The sequence below is a fragment of the Homo sapiens genome, chromosome 12 (genome assembly GCF_000001405.40).
Source record: "Homo sapiens chromosome 12, GRCh38.p14 Primary Assembly".
Taxonomy (NCBI): domain Eukaryota; kingdom Metazoa; phylum Chordata; class Mammalia; order Primates; family Hominidae; genus Homo; species Homo sapiens.
In genome coordinates, this window is record NC_000012.12 from 67418889 (window position 1) to 67436275 (window position 17387).

At 41.8% G+C, this 17387-nt stretch overlaps 2 long non-coding RNA genes and 1 pseudogene across 3 annotated transcripts in view; 1 reads left to right on the forward strand and 2 right to left on the reverse strand.

Moving 5' to 3' along the window:
• The window catches only part of LOC105369812 (uncharacterized), an 86311-nt gene that overhangs the window by 24505 nt on the left and 44419 nt on the right, over positions 1 to 17387 (forward strand). For both annotated transcript variants that reach the window (XR_001749186.2, XR_945043.3), the window contains exons 2-3: positions 2269 to 3518; positions 6993 to 7155. This is a non-coding gene — a long non-coding RNA (uncharacterized LOC105369812). The remainder of the gene's footprint in view (positions 1 to 2268; positions 3519 to 6992; positions 7156 to 17387) is intronic.
• Positions 5367 to 6097, reverse strand: NTAN1P3 (N-terminal asparagine amidase pseudogene 3; annotated as a pseudogene).
• On the reverse strand, positions 16256 to 17023 carry LOC124903072 (uncharacterized). Its single transcript, XR_007063567.1, has 2 exons — positions 16747 to 17023; positions 16256 to 16628 (listed from the first exon to the last, which is right to left on the reverse strand). It is a non-coding gene; the product is annotated as an uncharacterized LOC124903072 (long non-coding RNA).

Genomic DNA, 17387 nt, shown 5'->3' on the forward strand with positions numbered 1-17387 from the left:
TTTTGCCATAGGAAGTAAATCAACACATATAAAGGAATTGCTTATCATTTGCTAAAAACAGCTTTCTACACAGACTGATATAATCCCTGCTATGAACAGCAATCTTTAGAATAATGTTATAGCTTCTATTAGGATTTTTGCAATATTGTATATATTATGAATATAAATATATTGTAAATATTGCACATGAAATATATATGTATATATACAATTCTGCTCCCTTTGGATACCCTAAATTGAGCACGTCTGACCTATTAAACACTGCTTTACGTTAAGTACTAAGAAGATAAAATGACATAGACCCTGTTGTAATGGAATTTATAATTCAGTTTATAGGGGAAACAAATAACCCTTTTTCCTCTACCCTTTTAGATTCACTGGAGCACTGCAAATTAGACTGACAAAAGACAGATTATCAGGAGAAAAGGCATACAAACAAGCTAATAGGCCGAAAAGCTCATATACCATTTTAAACAAAGAAAGATAAACTGTGGAGACTTGACAGAAAGAAAAAAGGGTTTGGGGCTTTCAAGAGCAGTCCACTACGGGAAGGTAAATGCATGGGGAACTCTTGTGGAAGCCAGGGGCTATCTTGGCAAGGTGTGTGTGTTCAGGTCCATCTCAGTGGTGACTTTCTGTCTTCTTCATGGCCTTAAAAATTCCCTTGGAGAGGCAATTTATGGCAGTCCTCATTTCCCAGGAATTTCTGATTTGAGTCAGATTTTTTAAGAAAGAGAAGCTCTTGGAAGACTTCTTTCTGCATCTGTCGGATCTCAAAATAGTCCTATCCCAAAGTGGCATATTTTGGGGTGGCGTATTTACCAATCCCCTTCAGGTTTCATTCATCCCTTCACCAAAAGTTTACCCACTGCTTATCAACCAAAATTCATTGAGATACAAAGTTGACTGACACGTGGCTTCTGCTCTCAAGGAACTTACAGCTTGATCGACAAGGCACATGCATTTCTGAAAGTAATGCAACTCTCAGGCTGTTATAACTAAATGCTGTAATAGGATAGTATGTATCTTACACATTAGAATAATTAGGTTTCCATGGGAACGCTGTCATAGCCCCTGGCCAACCTGCTGTGCTCAGTTCCTCCTAGCTCCTGTGACAATAGAGGTAAAGGTGACGCAGCATATCCATAGAGTGATCACCATTACTCAGCAGCAACATGACCAGCATGTGTTACGGACCTGTGGGGAAGGTACCGAGATATCGCAAGAACCAGGATGTTACATACAGGAGGCATGGTTTTTCACAGGCTGTTTTTCAAATGATACAAATTAGTTATGCTGGATTTTCAGGGTGATACGGTTGGCATTAGATAAGGCTGGGTAGGGCCCCACTCAGAACTTGTTACTGGGAAGGGGTCCTGATCCAGACCCCAAGAGAGGGTTCTTGGATCTTGTGCAAGAAAGAATTCAGGGTGAGTCCATAAAGTAAAATGAAAGCAAGTTTATTAGAAAAGTAAATGAATAAAAGAATGGCTACTCCACAGGCAGAGCAGCCAGGCTGGTTGCCCATTTTTACAGTTATTTGTTGATTATATGCTAAATAAAGGGTGGAGTATTCATGCCTCCTCCTTTTAGACCACATAGGGTAACTTCCTGTCATTGCCATGGCATTTATAAGCTGTCATGGCGCTGGTGGGAGTGTAGCAGTGAGATCGACCAGAGATCACTCTCCTCACCTTCTTGGTTTTCGTGAGTTTTAACTGGCTTCTTTACTGCAACCTGTTTTATCAACAAGGTTTTTATGCCTGTATCTTGTGCCAACCTCTTATCTCATTCTGTGACTTAGAATGCCTTAACCTCTTGGGAATGCAGCCCATCAGGTCTCAGCCTCATTTTACACAGCCCCTATTCAAGATGGAGCTGCTCTGGTTCAAACATCTCTGACAAACTCACCATAACCTTGTGGGACTTGTTAAACTAACTTAATGAGAGGTCATTAGGCTGGGATGGCTCTATCACCCTGCATTCCTATGTAAACAAATTGAAACTTCAGCTCAGCCCGTCACAAGCCAACTGAGCATTATATTACCAGGGACTTTCTGCTGAGAAAATCCAAATAAGGCAATATCTGATCTGAACCAACTTAATATTTTCTTTGCCTCACTTTCGCATTCACCCTATAATGCTTTTCTCTTTCACTTCTTTGGCAGGGCCCTGACCACTTCTGGCTTGGAGCTGCCCTATGCGTGAATTGCTGTCTCCTCAAATACACTCTTAATATTTTAATATGCCTGTTTGTTTTTTTAACAGATCTCACTCCGGACAAGTAAACACCAATACCACCAACCTGAGTAGGCCTTCCATGAAATACTGGGGACACTAAGAAGCCACACCCCCTGAAACATTCTATGGTCATTCAGCATTTGAAGCAAATTGGAAAGGTGAAAAACCTGATAAGTGGGTGCCTCATGAGCTCACCGAAAATTTTTTTAAAAATTGTCGTTTTGAAGTGTCATCTTCTCTTATTCTATGCAACAACAATGAACCATTTCTTGATTGGATTGTGATGTGCGAGGAAAAGTGGATTTTATATGACAACTGGCGATGACCAGCTCAGTGGTTGGACCGAGAAGAAGCTCCAAAACACTTCCCAAAGCCAAACTTGCACCAAAAAAGGTCCTGGTCACTGCTTGGTGGGCTGCTGCTGGTCTGATCCACTGCAGCTTTCTGAATCCCTGGGAAACCATTACACCTGAGAAGTATGCTCAGCAAACCAATGAGATGCACCAAAAACTGCAATGCCTGCAGCTGGCTTTGGTCAACAGGAAGGGCCCAATTCTTCTCCACCACAATGTCCGACTGCACATCACAACCCACGCTTCAGAAGTTGAACAAATTGGGCTACGAAGTTTTGCCTCATCTCCCATGTTCACCTGACCTCTCGCTGAGAAGTAGCTTTGGAGCTTCTTCTCGGTCCAAACACTGAGCTGGTCATCGCCGGTTGTCATATAAAATCCACTTTTCCTCGCACATCACAATCCAATCAAGAAATGGTTCATTGTTGTTGCATAGAATAAGAGAAGATGACACTTCAAAACTACCACTTCTTCAAGCATCTCAACAACTTTTTGCAGGGAAAATGCTTCCACAACCAGCAGGATGCAGAAAATGCTCTCCAAAAGTTTGTCAAATCCTGAAGCATGGATTTTTAGGCTACAGGAATAAACGTATTTCTCACTGGCAGAAATTTATTGATTGTAATGATTCCTTTTTTGGTTAAAGACATGTTTGAGCCTAGTTATAACGACTTACAATTCACGGTCCAAAACTGCAAGTACTTTTTGCACCAGCGAGATGTGCATATGAGAAGCTTATTTCACCAAGCCTCTTATCTAGTCATCTGTATAATTATTTCAAGCACAGGAGGGACCCTACTTCTTACTGGGGAGGATTAAGGAAGGCTTCCTGGAGGATTGTCTCAGAGCTTGCTGCAGGTGCATATTGAAAAGCAATTCATTACAATTTTCTATAAGAGACTGTGGCTGAACAATGATACACAGGTATGGTCAGAACTTTGTGTAACAATTTCTGCATCACATGTGTAGAAATCTTAAGGAAAGGAATACTCTCTCTCAGCAAGTTGAGCCCTGTAGCCAGATACTTTGAGTAGTGTTTCCTGAATCTTTAAAACCCACTGACTTCAAATGGCATGACTTCCAGAGTATAGAGGTGGGTATAAAGAGCAACTCAGCCCCCCACACCCTTAAAATCACATCTTGTCAAAAACTTGAAGACTTTCAGGACTTGTGGATTCATTCCTCTTTCCATCGCCACTGCAAAAGCTCATAGGAAATTTTTCTCTGTACATAAAGAAGGAAATCATGCTCTCACAGCTGCATCCTGAGTAATCACTTTTGAGATAAAACTATTTTTCTAGCCATAAAAGCTATATTTGAATTTCACCAGCTGCTTTCTTAATGATTACTAGACTATTTTGATAATGGCACCAGCTTCAGGAAAGGTGGTGATGCTACCTAACCTTGCTTTGATAAGAAAGATTTTTGCATCAGGGGAGATTACACTTATTTAATGTAATCCAGATGTCTCCTTTCTCAGTGTTCCCCAATTCTGCCAGCCTCATTGATCATTCCAACTATTAGTATTCAAATAAAAATGGCTTCCATATGTAAAAGGAAACTCAGGATACTTTGCTATTCATTTTTTTCTTTTTTCTTTCTTTCTTTTCTTTTCTTTCTTTTTTTTTTTTTTTGAGACGGACTCTCGCTCTGTTGCCCAGGCTGGAGTGCAGTGGCACGATCTCAGCTCACTTGCAATCTTCGCCTCCCGGGTTCAAGCTATTCTCCTGCCTCAGCCTCCAGAGTAGCTGGGACTACAGGCATGCGCCACCATGCCCAGCTAATTTTTGTATTTTTAGCAGAGATGGGGTTTCACCATGTTGGCCAGGATGATCTCGATCTCTTGACCTCATGATCCACCCGCCTCGGCCTCCCAGAGGCTATTCATTTTCTGTGGAAGTTCTCAGGGGCAGGGTAGGGTGGGATGTGGTAACTTTCTCCTAGGTTCTCTGATTTTGGTAAATTCTTAATCTCACTTCTCATCCTCAGGTGGTTTTCTTTTCTCAAAACTGAAACACAGTTGCTTCTTTTCCTTTATCTTCCCTAAATGCCTTTATAGAAAGCATTTGTGTGTAGTTAATTTTTACAAAGAGTTTTTGAAAACAGGGAGATTGCATTGCTGCAGAGCATAGCAAATTCTTTAAAACTAAATATGGGATATCACCATTGATTTCTAAATGCAGATATCCCCAGCCCTTTTCATAAGTGAGAATTTCTCTTGAGCTCTCTTCTCCTGGGCCTCCAGATTCCATTTTCCTGAACCTGGTCCTCCTGCCTTCTCTCTTTACCTCCCTATTTCCTCCACCAACTTATGTCCCCACCATCTCAGTCTGCCCTTAGAAACTTATTTTTTTCTTCTTGCATCATTATGCAGAGAAACAAAGTTACTACTGGTTTCCTGGTTTTCCTTCTGAACAATATTTCAGAACCTATTTTATTTTATTTTTTTACAGCCAAATGGCTCTTCAAAGCATTTTGCTAAGGAAAAAACACTTTCCTCTTAGGAAAAATTTCATCAACAGCTTTTACATTTGATCTTAGCCAAAAGGCTGAGAAGCAATCATCAACAGCCTTTAAAATAAGATTTTGTCATCTCCTTGGTACATTAAAGTCTATATCATATCCAGATTTTAGTAACTAATCAGCATTACTTTTATAGTATTGTGAAAATAAGGCTATATTTTGAAAATCACTGAGTAAGGAAACAAGACTCAATATGGTCAGATTTTAAATTCATGTTTTTTCCATCTTTTTTGGTAATTTCTGCATATTGCTTCTTGAGGAAGAGATCCCTTCCCACAAGCAGCCTCATTGTATTTTTCTTTAAAAGTTTTTTTTCTTTTTGTAGGCATTTATTTCCAGGAAACTGGGTTAGCTTGAGATGGATATTAAAATTAAAGTTATAAACCTGAGGTTGCATCTGACATGTGCAAAAAAGTAGGGAGTTTGGAAAGAGGTGAAATGATCACTTACTTGCTACCATCTTTGCTATAGCCAGAAATTTACACTTGGAAGCAAAATCTAGGAACACCATCTGAGACAAAGTTGTTTGTGGCTTTGAATCGTAAGTATTCATTCTTGGTGCCCTGTCCCATCTCAAGACTACAAATCTATTCCTTCAAATCTTACTCGGAAATGAGAGTTGATAAATCTCTGTGGTTTTAATGATGACAGCAACTCCATAAATTATTTAAAAGTAGTTTACATTTTCTATCAGGTCATTTAATCCTCACTCACATCACATATCTAAGAGAATGTCCTTCTCTTGTTTGAAAAGTTTGCTAAGAAATTCCCAGTCAGGTCAATTTTGATACAAAGACTTATCAACACAGAAGCCTCTTGCTGGGTTCACTTCCAGCCTTCTGAAATAGGTATGATCTGAAAATGCTTCAGGGGGTTGAAGAACAAGGCATGTCAGCTCCATTCCTGTGCACCAACTGGCTTGTCTGCCTCAGGGTCACCATGTGACTTTGTGTAGTGACATCATCAGACAAAAGTGATGCTTCCAGGGTGTGCCTGGGCCTGGACAAGGCCACTAGGGGACTGCCCTAGCCTGACTCTTTGGTCCTAAGGTATCCATCTGTTTAGCATTACATTTCTTATCCAGTTGTTTCCTGGTTTTACCAGCTACAGATGTAAAACAGGCGTGTAAAATATGGTCAGATCTTAATGTCTGAGATCCCTTCCTCTGCATCAAAGGAAGTCAGCACCCCAGAAAGTGTCTCTGGTCATCTCTGCAAGTTTCCCACGAGGGTTTTGCAGGTGCCCACAGAGCTGTTGGTCGTTTGGTGGCCTCTCATGCTCTTCTGTTTCTTATTTTAATTCCCACATTTCTCATCATCTATGTGTCAGCTGTTTTATAGTAATACATACAAAGTGGTAAACATTTGCAGAGTAACTACTATGTGCTGAGTATTACTCCATAGGTCATATGCATATTAAGTTATTTAATTTTTATAGCCATCCTATGAGGTAGGAACTGTTACTACTCTCATTTTACAGACAAGGAAACCAAAGTCCAGATAGGGGCCAACAAGGAAGTGGTAGAAACTCTTGCCTTTAACCATTTTGCTATTTGCATGTTATAGTCATGTTGTAGTGTTGACTTTATCTAGAGAGTGAGAACACAGGCCTTGACAGGAGTCACACCCAGGGTCAAACCCCAGCTCAGCCACTTACTCATCAGGTAGCTTTGGCAAGCTGCTTAGCTTCTTTGACCCTCAGTATCCTTATCTGTAAATGGAGAAAATATTAGTAGTTTCCTCATCAAATTATTTTGGGGATTAAATAGAATAATGCGTGTAACAACATGAAGTCCCTGGAATATTATAAGCATGCCCATAAATGTTAGCTGTGAATATGATAGCAGTAATAATCCTCCCTATAACCTTTTTACAGATTAGCAAACTGAGGCTTGGAGAAGTGGAAAACTTGCCTAAGATTAAACAGCATTAAAGGAACAGAGGCTGGGCTTGCAACTCAGCTCTGGGACTCCAAAGTCTGCCCTTTCCAACTACATCGTCTTGCTGATCGCGAGCTCAGTTGATGGTAAAGACCTGTGGTAGGTGCTATTTGGGATGTGGTTTTGATCAAGAGACGCCCTGATCTTGTACACAATTACCTGTGATAAGAGCCATGTGTGAGAGTTCCACCTGAGTGGAGACTAAATGGCACGCTGCTGGAGTACTGAGCAGAGAGGAATCACATGACTGTGAGCTCAGATCATTTCTGGGTAGTCTCAAACCTTTGGCTGAGTGCCTAAATCTTCATTTCACCTCTTGCTGTGAAACTCTTGTTTTTCTTTAAACCCAAGAGTCCAACTCCATGTGTAATACAATATCATGTAAATGAGGGTAACCTTGGAAGGCAGGCTGCTTGTCATACTATAGTGGCTTTGTTGCTGTAATGAAAACCACATGCTTCATGGTACTTTTAGACTAGTTAATATTAGCAGATCAGCTGCATTTTTGTTTAGATATTGCTATTCCAGCTGTGCTTTTTCTGGTTATTTCAAGAGAATTCACAATTTCTACCAAGCCATAAGCTTTTTTCAGGAGAGTGGAGAACTGGAAGAAAATGGCCAGCACTTTCCTCTCGGCTCTCTGGTTTCCACATGGAATTTGTCATTGTTTTCCCGAGTCATTGTGAAAGGAAGACGTGGTTGACCCAGGGACTTGCTTTCAAAGAGTAATGGAATAAATAGCAAGGTGAAAAAAGTATGAAAAATGACTTGACTTTGTCCTGGGGCGAAGAGAAAAGAGTAGAAAATAAGAAAGAGGGAGGAAAAGGGGCATGCCTAACCACCTTGCTGAGATCTTGAAATTTGCTGGAATGATATGGTTATGATTACGATTATGATTATGAGTGTTTTGAGAAAGGGAGGATCATTTCTTTCCATTCTTGAGTCCTCTTTGGAGTCATTTGAATCTCTAAATTTGCTTCTCAGAGAAAGTTTTATATTTCTTGGGGAAGATCTTAAATTACTTTCTTTCCCAACTAAATTGGGTCCCTCTTTCTCTACCCAACATTAAATATCCAATGTCCCTGTGACTGGAAGAGTCCCTTCTCTCTCTGTAGAAAGAAACTGGGGCAGACAGAGAACTTTGCCTCCCAATCTAGTAATGTCATTAAGAGCAGTGATCTCAATCCTTAGGGTAGATCTCTGTGGACCTAAAGATTGATTGATGGGCACTTTCTCCTCTGCCCAGCAGGCTGGAGGAAAAGGGGTATAAGAAAGAAACTTTCAGAGTTCCTCATAACAATCTTAAGGGCAAAGACCTGTCTGCTGAGGATTAGGTTAGTTTGTACCATACTCACAGAATCAGCAGCTCAGACCCCTCTGTCGGTGGGGGATGGGGCTGATGAGATTTTGCTTTGGCATGTGTGTTGCTTAACCAATGTATTGTGCATATATTGAGCCCAATAGCTATGAACAGGAAACTACTTCATTTTCTCTGCCATGACAACCTTGGAAATATACTGTGCTCAACCTTCCCTCCCTGTCTGCGTCTGTAGTCTGATCATGTTCAAGCAACAAAAATGAGTCTTTTATTGAGGATTATGACTCATCTATAAGTACGAAAAGACCCAATAGAGTCTAAATCAAAGCCTTTGTCTCTTCACATCTTCTCTCATTTTCACAGCCCGGGCCTGACCCTTGCTGGGGTTCCCAAAATAGGAAAGGAGAGTCTGGTCTCATGGTCTGTTTTTTCACTTGTTCCTGACTCACTCCTCCTCCCCGATTTGCCTTGCTGCTTTTGGTTTCTCCATGGTAGGGGAGTGGGGCAGAAAGGGAAACAGAAGATGGGCAGCCTTTTTAAAGTATCTGGTGCTCTTTGTGGCTCTGTCTTGGCTGGCTTTGCCCAGATGCTGGGCCCTTCATTACACTTTTCCATGATGTGCATTTGTGGATCCTATGCATTGGGACTTTTCTGATGTACTAGTTTACTGCTATTGGTGCATGCTCTTCAGCCGACCCCATGCGTCCCACTTTCCTTCTTCCACCCCAACTCCTGTCTTAGCGGTTGTACTCCAGCTTCTCACTGCTAATATCTCCTTGCTCTGGCAGGCCACCCTATAAGGTGGGCTCCTTTCAAGATGTTTCAGGATAGATTCCATGGTGTCCACCAGGCTTGCAGGAACCCCTGCATTCCTGCTCTACCCCACCAAGGAAAATAAGGCTGCTTCCCCTGCTGCCTCTGTCCTCGCCTGCCCTCTTGGCAGTTCTTGGCAGGTTCCTGACCTCAGAAATTGTCTCAACATGAGGCAGGCTGTGGTCTCTGTTCAACTATGTCCTCAAGTCTTCAAGGACACATGTCAAGTTCTCCAGTGGGAGAGAAAAGCCAAGGGATCTCGATTCTCAGGCATTCCCTTCAACGAGCTCTCTTGGGGACTTTCAAGTCTTCCTTTACATACTCTGGAGGTGAAAGATCAGTTTGGGCACCTTCTAGTGAGCCCTGGGATCCAGCAGGTCTCTGTAGGATTGGGGATAGAGGTGCTTGCTACTTATTGTTTTCACTTTAGGGGCTTCAGCCAAAATGCAGAGAGAGCAGGAAAATCCCATTTGCACCTAATGAAAATGTGTAGGTTGAAAGTTCATCAGGAGTGAGCTTGCTGTGTTGACTGCACTTTGAGACTTCCTCATGAGTCATTTAGAAAAATATTTCCAGATTTTACTGTCTCTGGAAATTAGTGTTTGCCCTCAGGAGGTGTCTGTGAATGTGTATATATCTGCTTCAACGATTATTTGCTAGATAAACAGAAAAATAATAGCCATGTCTACACTGGCGGAAAACTATATATAAAATTTATGGAGCACATCTTTGCTAAGGTGTGCTCTATATGTGTGTTAACTCTTTAAAGCCTCACTATAATCATCACCATATCACAGAAAAGGAGACTGAGGTGCAGGAAGTAACATGAGGAGGTCACAAAGCTGGGAGAAGACATCTTCAAGTCCTGGTTGCTTCATTTCAGAATTCCTTCTTTGGGCCACTGCACTCCTCTACCATAAGGCTGGACTGCACTGAGGAATAGAGATGTTCCCCCATTGCTGACTTCCTGATGAAGCTCCTCTGAATTTCCTTAGTCTGAATGATGCATAATTAAGGAAATGTACCCCTAGGGAAGGAATGGCTCCAAGGTCAAGATCAAGTCTGAGTAGTGAGTTGGGTATCAAATCTTGTTTTTGCCACTCTGCAGAGTGGGAAGAACACATTGTTTTGGAGATGTGAGACACTGTGTAGGAACAAGCTTGTGTCCATGATGGAAACCCCATGAGGAAAGTCTACCTTTTTGGATAATTTTCCTTTAGGTGATGTGTACAGATTTAAGTTCCATAAGAAGAAAATGTGGTGTTGGCTCCTTGAGTTACCCTGGTTGTTCAGACGAGACCCATGCCTTTTGCTCCTCTGTGGTGATGCTATGGAGAATGAAGGGTCTGGGCACTTGATTGAAGTATAGCCAGTACCACATCAACCTCTTGTCTGAATCCTTGAAAAGGGAGAAGTATCCATCTAAGGGGATTGTCTGGGAGTTCTGGATAGTGATCAATGGAGGAGAGGCCTACGGAAGTAGAAAGGAGAACAACAGGGTGCTCAGAGCAAGTTCCAATTCAGAGAAGTAATGTGAAATAAATCTCCCCCTTCCCAATATATTCTTAAAGAATCTGACCCATACCTGGGCAGTAGGAGAAGAGGATGCTTGGGTTAGATCTTTCTTCAGTAAAGACCAATGAGACTGTCACGTCCTTCATGCTTTCAAAGACAGCAAGTCAGAGTGAATTTTGTGTATCCTATTGAATGGGATTTGGCAGAGACAGAATTGAGGGGGCCCTGCTAGATCTGCAAGGGCAAGGAGAGTGCAGACATTGAACTTTGTTTGGAATCCTGGCTGAGGTGTCTTAGGTAGGCAGTGAGGAAAGCCAGTAGTCTCAGCTTCAAGGGCAAGTGGAGTCTAGAATAAAGAATAAAGGGGGTAGTCTGGTGGTGAGAACAACATCAAGAATCAGGCATGGCAACTCAGAAAAGCATCCTGGAGAATGCTTTAGTATGTCAGACTTCGTATGGAGTAACTTTCATCTGAGGACCATATAAATAGCAACAGAATAGCAATGTTTACCAGTCTTCATTCATTTTACAAAAGCATATAGAAGGCTTCATGTGTGTCTGGCCTTGCATTAAGCTCTGGAGACACCTGCAATTAGAAGAGCCTGATCTTGTTTTGAACAGTTTATAGTCCAGGGGTGATCTGGAACATCAACATGATGGTTTCTAAGTTTATTGATGGGATACACACAGGTGCTCTGGGCTCATAGGAGGGTACACAACCTAGACTTTAACTGGGAGAAGTGATATCCAAGAAGACTTCCTAGAGGAAGTGGTATTTAAAGGGAGGCCTGTTCAGGAGGGAGAGGCTACAGTTGAGGCTGGAGAGAAACCATCAGGGTCAGATCGTAATGGGTTTTATGGCAGCCTAGGAGGTAGGTAGTGCTGTCATTATTTTATAGCTAACGCCAGTGAGCTCAGGGGGTTAAGTGACTTGCCCTGAATCAAACAGTGCAGGGGACAGACCTGGAATTGGATCTAAAATCTATCTTACCACAAAGATGAAGCTCTTTCCACTCCACTCCTCTCTGTGCTTTTTAATTTGGGAAAAGTTTAATGAGCTAAAATTTTTACCCCCTCAAAATTATGTGTCCATCTCTAATAGGCCTCTCTGTCCCACTTTGAGCTAAAAGTCATTGCATCCTCTCAGGATCAAACAAATTGAAATTTATTTTAAAATATTCTTCGCCGATCCTAGTGGAGGCAGCAAATCACCAAAAACTCAGCTCAGGGCATCGGCCTAATGCCTCCGTGAGGGAAGTCTTGGAAGAGCCGGGTCACATCTGTGTTCCAAGTGAGAGAGTCCAGAGAGAAAAGCACACAGCAGTTTCTTTCATAAAAATGTTAAAAGGACTAGTTTGTTCATGACCTTGGTTGATTAGGGTCAGGTACTTGACATAATAATGCTTAATATATCAGAAAAATCTGTGTTTGCTCACTGGCCCATGCGCCTGATCCGGCTTCCCCAGCTGTAACTTCTCAGGACTCAGCCCTCGGGAAATGCAAGTCAGTTTGAGCTGTTTTTTTGTTCCCCCTCCCTTCCCAGTTTGGTGCAAAATCCAATGTAATTTTGGCATTTAACCACTGATAAGTGAAAAATAAAGTTCATTGAAAGTGAGTGTTGTCATAGTTCATAAGAACTCACAGTCCCTGCATCTGGACAGCTGCCTTCTTGGCCAGACATCCGATGACAGTCTTTCCATTTTATCACAAGGCTTTGGACTTCAGTCACTCTATGTTTCCCTCCCTGAGGCAGTGCAGACCCTGATTTGTCTTAGACAAAATTAAGAAGCAGTCAAAGAATGCCTTTAGGGCCATCAAACTCCCCCTTTTCCCTCTCGTATGGAGTTTCACACTCAGTGGCTTAGGTGCCCAGCATGCCATGATCTTTCTCTCCTTCCATTAAAACGATGACCAGGAAAGAATCTGAAGCATAGTCATTGGAAGGGAGGAAGGAGTAATTATGACAACAATAGCAGCTAACACTTAGATAGCACATACCATGGGCAAGACAAACGATTCTGAGTTTCATGTGCATTGACTCACAAATTGCTCCAATAACTCTATGCATTACAGAATATCATTATCTCCTTATGACACAGAGAGGTTAGTTTACTTACGTAAGGTCATGTAGAAGGTTGTAGAGACATGATTTGAACCCAGGAAGTCTGGTTTCTTCCATGTACTTAACCATTATATTTGAGAATGAACGTGATTAGTTGGCCAAGATGTTGCAAGCACTGTGCTAGATACTGTAATGTGTTATATTACTTAACATTCCTAACTAGCTTTTGATAAAGGTTTTAAAACCTCATTTTACAAGCAAGATAGAGAGGATAAATGATTTGCTAGGATTTCATACCTAGTAAGTGTCAGGGCAGAAATCTAAATTATGATCTGAATGAGTGCAAATTCCACATTGTTTCCACCGGAGCATTTCTGGATCCAGAACATCAATCCCAGGGTAAGTGTCACTCTCTTTTGATATGGCTCTCACCTGAAACCTCAGCACTCCAGGAGGCTAAGGTGGGAGGATTGCTTGAGGCCAGGAGTTCATGACTAGCCTGGTCAATATAGAGAGACCACGTCTCTGCAAAACAAAAATTTACAAAAAAATTAGCCGGTCAGAGTGGTGTACACCTGTAGTCCCAGCCACTCGGGAGGCTGAGGTAGGAGAATCACTTGAGTCCAGGAATTTGAGGTTGCAGTGAGCTATGATTTTGTGCCCCTGCACTCCAACCTGGGCAACAGAGACTCTGTCTCCAAAAGAAAAAAAGTATCAGAGCATTAAGTTAGATGATAGGAGTAGTAGTGACCTGTAGGTAGGAGAAACATTTTATTTGGTGGGGGTGGGGGGGCAGGGGTGATGAGAGTTTCTTGGCCCTAGAAATTACACTCTGTAGGCTGGTGTCTACTCAGCCATGCTAGCACGCTAGCCTCACATAGAAGCTTTTTCTCTGCAGTTCTAGCCCACTGTATTTGACTGGCCTCACCCCAATAGTTCACAGCTTCCCCACCCCCAAGTCACCATATCTGAAATTAAACTTGCTTTCCTTATATTCCCATCTAGGGTTAATAGTGTTGCCTAAGGTTGAAATACCCCTTCTCCTTCACCTGCCACATTTAATCAGTCCCTAAGTTCTACAGATTCTGCCTTTTACCAACGTTTCTAGTCTATTCTCTTATGCCTCATCACTCACACTGACTTTGTTTAGATCATTCATCATCCTTTGCCTAAATTATTGTAGTTGTCTCCCAAGTGGCCTCCTTACTCTGAGTTTTTCTCTCCTTTACTCTATCCATCATACCGCCCCTTGTGTAATTGCTCTAATATGAAAATCTGATCATGTCACTTCCTTGCCCAAAATCTGTCTGTTGCAGGACCCTAGCACTTACATAATATTTCCTCAAACTGCATGCTAAGGGCTTCAGTGATGTACTCTTGGGACTGAAGGTATCATCAGAAATTAAAAAAAAAATACTTTAATTTCAAGGACAGTTTAAAATTTAAATAGATGCATCTTCTAGATCATTGGATGACTGTTTGTATAACTAAATGCTGCCAGTTGATTTGTCTTTACAACTGCCTTTGCATTTAAAATTACCCTGAAGACAGGCTGGGCATGGTAGCTCATGCCTGTAATCCCAGCACTTTGGGAGGCCAAGGTGGGTGGATCACCTGAGGTCAGGAGTTTGAGACCAGCCTGGCCAACATGGTGAAACCTGTCTCTATTAAAAATATAAAAATTATCCGAGCATGGTGGCTTGTGTCTCTAGTCCCAGCTACTCGGGAGGCTGAGGCACAAGAATCGCTTGAACCCAGGAGATGGAGGTTGAAGTGAGCTGAGATTGCTCCACTGCACTCCAGCCTGGGTGACAGAAAAAAAAAGAATTACCCCAGAACCAAACATATAGACAAGGGAAGTGCTGGCCATGTGACATCACCACAGCCTCTTTGAATGGTTGGTTCCAAGCTAGTATGACTAGGGAGGAGTGACATTACTGAGTCATTGCTCAGCACGTCACGGAGACAACCTGAACTGAAAATATTCCACATGCTTACAGTCAGTACCACATTCCTAGGCAGCAGACATTTTGTTTCAGTAATATTCGTTGCATTAAATGAATTTTGTTAATTTGCATTTAATTGGTTTTACATTATAATTCTTTTGGATTTATAATTGCATAAGGTATACACACTGGGAAGTTATACCCCATGGTTAAACTAAATTTGGTCTGAGAATGCCTCCCTACCTTGAGTGCCTAGGTAACAAACTACAACCTAACTTAGTACACACACAAACTGAAAGCCTAACTAGGAGTAAAGTCTCAGCCAATCACAGGCTACCAACTGATCAGACCATGTGCAAATAAAGCAACCACTGAGCTGTAACCAATCAAGCTGTTTCTGTATCTCACTTCTGTTTCCTGTCCATAAGGCTGCCTGTCCAACCTTGTGGACCGAGATCTCTGAACCTCTTCTGCTTCCGAGGGCTGCCTGATTCACAAATTGCTTATTGCTCAGTTAAACACTGTTAAATTTAATTCATCTGAAGTTTTTTTTAACATGCTTTATGTTTGTATATATTTAAATAATGTAGTAAAAATGAGTTGTCAATACCAAGAATATTTAATTAAATTCTTTTAAAAAACTGATCCATACAGTTTTCCATACCAAAGTCTGGGAAATCCTTACCTGACCAGTAGAATCAAGCACAAATTCCTCAGAGTGGCATATGAGGCCATTCTGCCCTTTCTCAAACACCCTTCAGCCTCATTTCCTGCATCTCTCCCAAAGGCTGCTCCTTTTCACTGGAGTAGAGCTTCTGGACAGTAGGGACTCTTTATTCATGTGTGTACCTACGGAACCTATCAATGAATGTTTACACAATAAATTAATGCGGGAATAAATGAATGAACATGTGATGGAAGCCAGGAGGAAAAGGAATAAGGCTCTTTTGCAGACCAATTAGCCAACTCCTAACATTACTGGAAATGATAAGAGTAGAGCTTCTGGACAGTAGGGACCCTTTCTTATTCATATGTGTACCTACAGAAACTATCAGTGAATGTTTACACAATAAATTAATGCGGGAATAAATGAATGAACATGTGATGGAAGGCAGGAGGAAAAGGGACAAGTCTCTTTCACAGACCATTTAGCCAACTCCTAACATTACTGGAAATAATAAAGTTCCTTGCGTAACCCCAGGCTGGGACTTTCCAGCCTCCCCTATCTCAGCCACAATTCTATTACAGAATAAGTTATTTACAGGCAGAGAGAGAGAGAGGCAGAGACAGAGAGACAGAGAGAGAATGAGAGAGAGACAGAGAGACAGAGTGTGTGAGCAGAAGCTAACACTCAAAGGAGGAAGGTCAGATGCAGCCTGTATTCTGAGAGAAGGATTCATCTCCCCACAGCATTTTCAACTGGGGAATTCTCAGAGGATCAAAGAGAGACTCTGTCCACACTGCCACCCATCCCATCTGCAGCCTACAGATTGCTCCCCTCCCACCCATTTTTAGCTTCCCAAGGAAGGATGATTCACTTAAACAGACTTTTATGTGTACTTTATTTTTAGTCCAGAAAGTATTTGTTTTCAATGTTTGTGTATGGGAATGTGAGTTCAGATCAGCTGATGTGGCAGTGGGCATGAGTAACTTAGCAAGCAAAACCGCACAGCTTATTATGATCTCCAAGGCCCATGTCAGTTCCAAACTGCTATGCTCATAGTACTTACTGGGTGACAGTCAATTGTAGTGGTCCCTATTCTGCTCTCATTCTCATATACAGGATATGGATGTGCTGTGTAGCCAGCCTGATCCCTTAAAAAGGAAGACTTTTCTTACTTCGTTTCTTCTTTGCCTCCTTCCTTCTTTTCATCATTCAATAATTGCCTCCAGTGATAAGCTTGTCCGGCCTTTGATCCTGATCCAACAACACAATAAAATTATAAAATAAGTTATTCTGTATCTGCAGAAAGCTTTACATATGGGCAATTCAGTTGTAACAAGGAGGGTGTCAGCCATGGATCTTTCCCCATTACCTTGACTTTTAATAGTGTATTTGGAGACAAGGAGACCTGGGTCCTCCCAGTTCTGTGACCAGGAACAAGTCATTCACCTGTTTTGACCTTAGATTCCTCCTCTACAAAACGATGATGGAAAAACACCTGCTCTTTTTTTACATGAATTTCAGTGATGAGGACTGAAATTAAAATGAGATGATTTTGGTAAAAGAGATTTGTTAACCATATAAAGTACTAAGCTAATCTAAGGGGGGGTAATTGTTCTTAGCATGCCTTTCCCCTCATTAGAACCATTGCATCCTATATGTGTGAAAGTAATTTTATAATAGGACACTAGCTTGGTACTGTTTAGCAACCATGATGGACACCCTTAATCCTTCTACCAAACATACTGAGAGAGAACTGGGCCGTGGCAGGTGTGCTTCTGGACAGAGGCAGGCCACCACCACTGCTTGGAGAGCAGGTCAGAGGGCACGTGCTGTGGGTGGAGAGGGTCCCAGTGTTGAAGGCTGTGTTTGTATTGTGTGTTGAGCTCTAAGTATAGATGGAAAACATTTAAATGCAAGATGATTAAGCTTGCTGGTGTCCCCTTCCTGATATGGATGGGACTTCCCTTCCCAAGGATGGTCATTGTTCAAAAGAATTGAATAAATTCCCAG